Source organism: Homo sapiens, chromosome 2, assembly GCF_000001405.40.
Source record: "Homo sapiens chromosome 2, GRCh38.p14 Primary Assembly".
Taxonomy (NCBI): domain Eukaryota; kingdom Metazoa; phylum Chordata; class Mammalia; order Primates; family Hominidae; genus Homo; species Homo sapiens.
In genome coordinates, this window is record NC_000002.12 from 215163046 (window position 1) to 215172136 (window position 9091).

Below are 9091 nucleotides of genomic sequence, written 5' to 3' on the forward strand. Positions count from 1 at the left end.
TTGGGGGTAAGGTTATAGATTAACAGGATCCCAAGGCAGAAGAATTTTTCTTAGTACAGAACAAAATGGAGTCTCCCACGTCTACTTCTTTCCACACAGACACAGTAAAAATCCGATCTCTTTCTTTTCCCCACATTTCCCCCTTTTCTATTCGACAAAACCAGCATCATCATCATGGCCCATTCTCAATGAGCTGTTGGGTACACCTCCCAGATGGGGTGGCGGCTGGGCAGAGGGGCTCCTCACTTCCCAGACAGGGTGGCCAGGCAGAGGCGCCCCCCCACCTCCCGGACGGGGCAGCTGCTGGGCGGGGGCTGCCCCCCACCTCCCTCCCGGACGGGGCGGCTGCCGGGCGGAAACGCTCCTCACTTCCCAGACGGGGTGGCTGCCGGGCGGAAACGCTCCTCACTTCCCAGACGGGGTGGCTGCCGGGCGGAGGGGCTCCTCGCTTCCCAGAGGGGGTGGCTGCCGGGCAGAGGGGCTCCTCACTTCTCAGACGGGGCAGCCGGGCAGAGACACTCCTCACCTCCCAGACGGGGTGGCGGTTGGGCAGAGACGCTCCTCAGTTCCCAGACGGGGCACTGTCCGGGCAGAGGCGCTCCTCACATCCCAGATGGGGCAGCGGGGCAGAGGCGCTCCCCACATCTCAGACGATGGGTGGCCGGGCAGAGACGCTCCTCACTTCCTAGATGGGATGGTGGCCGGGAAGAAGCGCTCCTCACTTCCCAGACTGGGCGGCCGGGCAGAGGGGCTCCTCACATCCCAGACAATGGGTGGCCAGGCAGAGACGCTCCTCACTTCCCAGATGGGGTGGCAGCCGGGCAGAGGCTGCAATCTCAGCACTTTGGGAGGCCAAGGCAGGCGGCTGGGAGGTGGAGGTTGTAGCGAGTTGAGATCATGCCACTGCACTCCAGCCTGGGCAACATTGAGCACTGAGTGAGCGAGACTCCGTCTGCAATCCCAGCACCTCGGGAGGCCGAGGCTGGCAGATCACTCGCTGTCAGGAGCTGGAGACCAGCCCGGCCAACACGGCGGGCCAACACGGAGAAACCCCGTCTCCACCAAAAAAATACGAAAACCAGTCAGGCGTGGCAGCGCGCGCCTGCAATCCCAGGCACTCGGCAGGCTGAGGCAGGAGAATCAGGCAGGGAGGTTGCAGTGAGCCGAGATGGCGGCAGTACAGTCCAGCCTCGGCTCGGCATCAGAGGGAGACCGTGGAAAGGGGAGATGAGGGAGATGGAGACTGTGGAAAGGGCAGAGGCAGAGGCAGAGGCAGAGGCCAGAGGCCAGAGGCCAGAGGCAGAGGCAGAGGCAGAGGACAAAATACACATTCTATTAAACAGTGCATGGAACTTTCTCCAAGATAGACCATACGATAGGCCATAAAACAAGCTTCAATAAATTTAAGAAAATTGAAATTATATCAAGCACTCTCTCAGACCACAGTGGAATAAAACTGGAAATCAATTCCAAAAGGAACCTTTAAAACCATGCAAATACATGGAAATTAAATAACCTGCTCCTGAATGAGCATTGGGTCAAAAACAAAATCAATATGGAAATCTAAAAATTCTTTGAACTCAACAACAATGACACAATCACACAACCTATCAAAACCTCTGGGATATAGCTAAGGTGGTGCTAAGAGGAAATGTCATAGCCCTAAATGCCTACATCAAAAAAAACTGAAAGAACACAAACAGACAATCTAAGATGATACCTCATGGAACTATAGAAACAAGAACAAACCAAACCCAAACCCAGCAGACAAAAGGAAATAACCAAGATCATAGCAAAACTAAATGAAATTGAAACAAAAAAATACAGAAGATAAATGAAACAAAAGCTAGTTTTTTGAAAAGATAAATAAAATTGATAGACCACTGGCAAAGATTAACCAAGAAAAGAAGAGAGAAAATCCAAATAACCTCACTATGAAACAAAACAGGAGATATTACAACTGACATCACTGAAATACACAAGATCATTCAAGGCTACTGTGAACACATTTACACACATAAACTAGAAAATCTAGAAGAGATGGATAAATTCCTAGAAAAGTACAACCCTCGTAGCTTAAATCAGGAAGAATTAGATACCCTGAACAGACCAATAAAAGCAGCAAGATTGAAATGGCAATTTAAAAATTACCAACAGAAAAAAGGTCAAGGACCAGACAGATTCACAGAAGAATTCTACCAGACATTCAAAGAATTGATACCAATCCTTTGACACTATTCCACAAGACAGAGAAAGAAGGAACCCTCCCAAATTCATTCTATGAAGCTAGAATCACCCTAATACCAAAACCAGGAAAGGACATGACCAAAAGAGAAAACTACAGACCAATATCCTTGATGAATGCACCAAGTGGGTTTCATACCAGAGATGAAGGGATGGTTTAACGTATGCAAGTCAATAAATGTGCTACACCACATAAACAGAATTAAAAACAAAAATCATATGATCAGCTCAATAGATGCAGAAAAAGCATTCGACAAAATCCAGCATTCCTTTATGATTAAAACTCTCAGCAAAATCAGCATACAAGGGACACATCTTAATGTAATAAAAGCCATTTATGACAAACCCACAGCCAACATAATACTGAATGGGGAAAAGTTGAAAGCATTCCCTCTGAGAACTGGAACAAGACAAGGATGCCCACTCTCACCACTCTTCTTCAACATAGGACTGGAAGTCCTAGCCAGAGCAATTAGACAAGAGTAAGAAATAAACACCATCCAAATCAGTACAGAGGAATTCAAACTGCCACTGTTTGCTGATGATATCATTGTTTACCTTGAAAACCCTAAGGACTCCTCCAGAAAGCTCCTAGAATTGATAAAAGAATTCAGCAAATTTCCAGATAAAAGATTAATGAACACAAATCAGTAGCTCTTCTCTATACCAACAGTGACGAAACGGAGAATCAAATCAAGAACTCAACCTCTTTTACAATAGCTGCAAAAAACAAACAAACAAAACAAACAAACAAACAAACAAAAACTTGGGAATATACCTAACAAAGAAGTCAAAAGCCCTCTGCAAGGAAAACTATGAAACACTGCTGAAAGAAATCACAGAAAACACAAACAAATGGAAACACATTCCATGCTCATGGATGGGTAGAATCAATATTGTGAAAATGACCATACTGCCAAAAGCAATCTACAAATTCAACACAATCCCCATCAAAATACCACCATCATTCCTCAAAGAGATAGAAAAACCAATTCTAAAATTCATATGGAACCAAAAAAGAGTCCGCATAGCCAAAGCAAAACTAAACAAAAAGAACAAATCTGGAGGCATCACACTACCTGATTTCAAACTCTACTATAAGGCCATGGTCACCAAAACAGCATGGTACTGGCATAAAAATAGGTGCATAGACCAATGGAACAGAATAGAGAACCCAGAAATAAACTCAAATACTTAGAGCCAACTGATCTTCGACAAAGCAAACCAAACCATAAAGTTGGGGACAGGACACCCTTTTCAACAAATGGTGCTGGGATAATTGGCTAGCCACATGTAGGAGAATGAAACTGGATCCTCATCTCTCACCTTATATAAAAGTCAACTTGAGACGGATTAAGGACTTAAACCTAAGACCTGAAACTATAAAAATTCTAGAAGATAACATTGGAAAAACCCTTCTGGACATTGGCTTAGGCAAAGATCTCATGACCAAAAACCGAAAAGCAAATACAATAAAAACAAAGATAAATAGCTGGCACCTAATTAAACTAAAGAGCTTTTGCACAGCACAAGGAACAGTCAGCAGAGTAAACAGACAACTCACAGAGTAGGAGAAAATCTTCACAATCTATACATCTGACAAAAGACTAATATCCAGAATCTACAACGAACTGAAATAAATCATTAAGAAAAAAACAAACAATCCCATCAAAAAGTGGGCTAAGGACGTGAACAGACAATTCTCAAAAGAAGATATACAAATGGCCAACAAACATATGAAAAAATGCTCGGCGTCACTAATGATCAGGGAAATGCAAATCAAAATCACAATGCGATACTGCTTCACTCCTGCAAGAATGGCCATAATCAAAAAATCAAAACAGAATAGATGTTGGCACGGATGCAGTGATCAGGGAGCACTTCTACACTGCTGGTGGGAATGTAAACTAGTACAGCCACCATGGAAAACAGTGTGGAGATGCCTTAAAGAACTAAAAGTAGAACTACCATTTGATCTAGCAATCCCACTCCTGGATATCTACCCAGAGGAAAAGAAGTCATTATTCGAAAAAGATACTTGCTCACGCATGTTTACAGCAGCACAATTTACAATTGCAAAATCATGGAACCAACCCAATGGTGTGTGAGTGTGTGGGTGTGTGTGTGTATATATATATATATTCCATTATACATATATAATGGAATACTATGCAGCCATAAAAGGGAATGAATTAACAGCATTTGCAGTGACCTGGATGAGACTAGAGACTACTATTCTAAGTAAAGTAACTCAGGAATGGAAAACCAAATGTTGTATGTTGTCACTGATACGTGGAAGCTAAGCTATGAGGATGCAAAGGCATAAGAATGATGCAATGGACTTTGGGGACGTGGGGGAATAGTGGGAGGGGGGCAAGGGATAGAAGGCTACAAATATGGTGCAGTGTATACTGCTTGGGAAATGGGTGCACCAAAATCTCACAAATCACCACTAAATAACTTACTCACGTAGCCAAATACCATCTGTACCCTAATAACTTGTGAAAAGATTAAAAATTAAATTTAAAATTAAAAGATACAGGATCCATAAAACAAAAAAAAGGATGCTATACTACTTTGAAAAAACCAACAAACAAAAACAAATACTCTTGAAAATTAACAGTATGATATAGAAATAAGCACTTCTTTTTGTTTTCTTTTTTTTCATTCTTTCTTTTTTTTTTTTTTGAGACAGTCTCACTCTGTCACCAAGGTAGGAGTGGAGTGGTGTGATCATGGCTCACTGCAACCTCCACCTCCCAGGCTCAAGCAATCCTCCCACCTCAGCCTCCTGAGTAGCTGGGACTACAGTCGCGCACCACCATGCCTGGCTAGTTTTTTGTAATTTTTGTAAAGATAGGGTTTCACCTTGCTGCCCAGGCTGGTCTCGAACTCCTGAGCTCAAGCAATCCACCAGCCTTGGCCTCCCAAATTGCTGGGATTACAGGTGTAAGCCACCATGCCAGGCCAGAAATAAACATTTCAACAGAAGCATTGAAAAGTAAAATAAAGAATAGGAATAAAATATGGAGATACTGCAATCGAGGGAAAAATTTATTTATTTAGCCAATCCAGAAAGCCTAGCATCTAAATAATAATAGTTGCTGATATAGAGAGCACAGAAAACAGAAGAGATTATCATAGGATAAAATATAAATATTTTCTAGAACTAAAAGGCATACATTTTTACCTTTAAAGAGACCCATTGATAAATCTCACCTCAAGCCACAACATATAAAATTCATGAATAACAGAGACTGAGGATAGACCTTAAACATGGGGAGGGGAACGTCAGGCACCGGGGCCTGTCGGAGGTGGGCGGCAAGGGGAGGGAGAGCATTAGGACAAATACCTAATGCATGTGGGGCTTAAAACCTAGATGACGGGTTGATAGTTGCAGCAAATCACCATGGCACATGCATACCTATGTAACAAACCTGCACATTCTGCACATGTATCCCAGAACTTAAAGTAAAATAAAATGAAATTAAAATAAACAAATAAATGTCTTCAGAATGTAAAAATATATATATTTTTTACAGTGGATCAACAATCAGTATAAAATTATCACTCAATAAAGTTATTAATGTATAAAAAGAATCATTATAGCACCAAACTTCCCAATTGCAACACTGAAATCTGGAAGAATGCATTTGAAAAGGTAATTTTTATCCTAGAATATGTACTCAGCAAAATTAGCAACTGTGAAAATAAAGATGTTTTCAGTCAAAAAAAAATTAAATGTACTTACCACAAACTCTTTCCCAGGAAACTACTGAAGGATGTACTTCTTTAAAATTGAGGAGTAAATCAGATAAGATAAAGATACAAAGAACAGAGAGCCCCAAAGAGGAGGGAGATGGAGAGCCTCCCGTGGATGGGGAAGAGGCGTAGTCTTGGGGCGGTAGGTGCGTTGCCAGCTCTGGAGCAGCTCATCCCCATTACAGCAGGACAAAGTCTTAAGGAGGCCCATCTCCAAGAAGAACATGCAGATGACAAAACTGCAGTATGTTTAAAATTTCAGAGGAGGTTGGGAAAACATAAAGATGAAGAGCGACACCTGTTAAGGAAACTAAGACTACAAACTCAGAATTTAGCAACAAACCTTTGTCAGTAAGAAAAGCTCTGCAGAAAGAGAGGAAGGGCTGGCTCACCAGCCAGAGGCCAGGGACGATGGAATCACAGCTCCTAGGCATATCAAAGTTTGCTTTTCTTTTATGCTTGGATACAAGCTGAGGTCTCTTCCAAGAATTGTAGTCCATAGGATCTCTAGAAGCGAGAGCTTGGAATGCAGGCCTTGTAGGTGCTGAGCTAAATTTCAAAATGGGCATTTGAAAGCATTGTAGACAACAAAAACTCTTTAACTGTCTACTATACAGAGTGATGTTATGGGGTAGCAGGTCCCTTCATCAATATACATTCTAGAAAAAGCAAAAATTGTGCAAGAAAATGCTCATGTGCACAACTATAATACTCACTAATAATGTCTCAGCTATGAACAATGTTTTCATAACACTATAATGATTCAATTGTTCTAAAAATATGATATAACTATATGGAAGAGCTGTATGTGTGTGCGCATGCATGTGTGTGTGTGCTAGCTGCGTGGATGTGTATCAGTGTGTGTAAGCTAGCAACATCCTCCTCTTTCATCCGAAGAGATAAGTAGAGAATATCTAAAACTTTAAAAATCAAGAAATCAATACCAGAGGCATGCAATTTAGAAATATGGGGGTAAATATCAGAAGAAATAGCTTAAAGAATTCAAAGCAGTTGCCTGCAAGTAACAGGAATTGAGAGTTTTCCATTATAAGTCAAATACTTAAGTCAAATACTTTTTATTTTTAAATTATGTCCAGTCATTACTGTAATAATGATTAAACGTAAACTTTAATTGGGTATGCAGAAGTAGAATAGTCTAGAAAGAAGTCTCCCTGGGTGACATTCCTTACCTCGCTAAATGTATAACCTTCAGCTGCTAGTCCTTCACCTTGCAGGCTCAAAAGCTTAATTTCACCTTTACATAAAGAGCAGGTCTGTCTCTGGGAGAAGCAGTGAAACTCACTTTAATTACAGTTATGAAATGAGGTATATTAATTTAAGACGAGACCTCATTGCACCAGTAGACAGCATGCCTTCTGGATAAATGGTTCGTTCTTTTTCTATGTTTAGTAAAGCAACATGGTTAGGTAAATGAGAATCACTGGTTTACACTAGGAAATGACTGATAAGATCTAGAAGCCCATTTGGTCACCACAAAATCTGGAGATACCTATCAAGAAAACTATACATAGTTAGAAGGTTTCTTGGAATCAAAAGAAATTCAATACATTGAATGTTTAATGGCTTCATCCTAAACTGTTAAAATGATTCCACAAGGCAGTGTTATTATCCCCTGCCCTGGATATTTGGAACATTATCTTCTTCTGAAAATAAGAAACTGATGCTCAGGAAATTAAATAGTTTGCTCAAGGTCACACAACTAGCTGGGATTTAAATATAGGTTTGCCTCATAAATATTATTTCTGTTGTGCCACATTGCCTTTCCAAAACAAACCAGAAAAAGGGGGGTCCAAGGAATAACTTTTCTTATTAAGCATTTTTTATTCTTTTTGCCATGACTAGGTCATTAACAAACCTATCTTCTAAATACAAAGGGTTAAAAATGAAAGAAAACAAGGGCAATTAATAGTTAATGAATTCCTACTATGTAAGGCTCTGCACTAGCAAATTTTCAATTCTTATCTACTTCTTTTTAAACAATTTGTTTATTAAGTACATTTATTGGTTTCTATTTATTTTTACACACTGTTGTTTATTACAAATAAGTAGCAGTTATTTTGTATTATTAAACCAGACTTGAAAATTTGTGTTGTCATATTTTGGAAACTTTGTTGGTATTTTTACTTCTATGAATTTGATTGGGTAAAAACGTATCTAAAATGTCTAATGCACCTCCAATGAGTAATGCCACAGTCATTTCAGAAAATGAAAATGAAAGTAATAACATATCATATTTTGTCACCACCATTGCTCTACGGCCAGATTTTAATGAGCCCAGCTCTGTAATCTGCCTGAGCATTTATAGACCTCAGGAGGGGCACTCTGTGGCTTTGGGCTAGAAGCAGCTGAAAAGAATGTCTCTCACTCATGTAAGAACAGCGTTGAATATGGCTGTTCTGTGTGCAGGCTCACCAATTGTGCTACTTGCAGTGGGGGCACTGTTCAGGGAAGGAGTAAGGTTGGCCAAGTTTGCCATTAGACATTAAGAGGGTACATAAAATCTATCAATATTTCTCCATCCCGTTGCGAAGAAATGGAAAAGAAGACAGTAGCCAGCTACTGCATTGCCACTACAGAAAAGTAACTTTACAGATTTTATGACATTTTTCTTGCAGAAATCCAACTATATACCTTGGGAAGATAGGAAAAGGGTTGCAGGAAAGACAGAAAAATAACATTTAAGATGGTGCCAGAAATTTCACCTGCCATCCCCCTCAATATGCTGAGTAGGTGCCCAAGATGAGTACGAGCGGGAGACATAAGTCTGTTCCCTCAGTTTATCTCACTTTCTCTGAGCCACTCATAGCATGAGAATCAGATGCACTTAATAGAATTGTGGTACTCAGGTGCCAAGGATTGTTTTCTTACCAGATGGTCCCTACACACACACAAGCCAATTCCTTCATCTGGTGCTCAACTGAAGAAAAAGTCACTCGTTCCAAAGCTGGAGGAAAAACTGGCAGAACTGGATTCAGCTGTGAGACAGCATGCTGTGGCCTCCAACGTGGCATTATTCTAAAAGTTCAGGAGTAACTTTGACTATAAGTAGTTGTTCCTTAACTCC

General features: G+C 40.9%; 1 annotated feature.

The window, feature by feature from the left end:
* Positions 473–640: a silencer, noted in NCBI's record as "fragment chr2:216028241-216028408 (GRCh37/hg19 assembly coordinates)". NCBI's record gives its function as "represses an EF-1alpha promoter that drives an FKBP-Casp9 reporter gene in an ReSE screen in K562 erythroleukemia cells {active_cell/tissue: K562}" and the evidence as "EXISTENCE:reporter gene assay evidence [ECO:0000049][PMID:32094911]".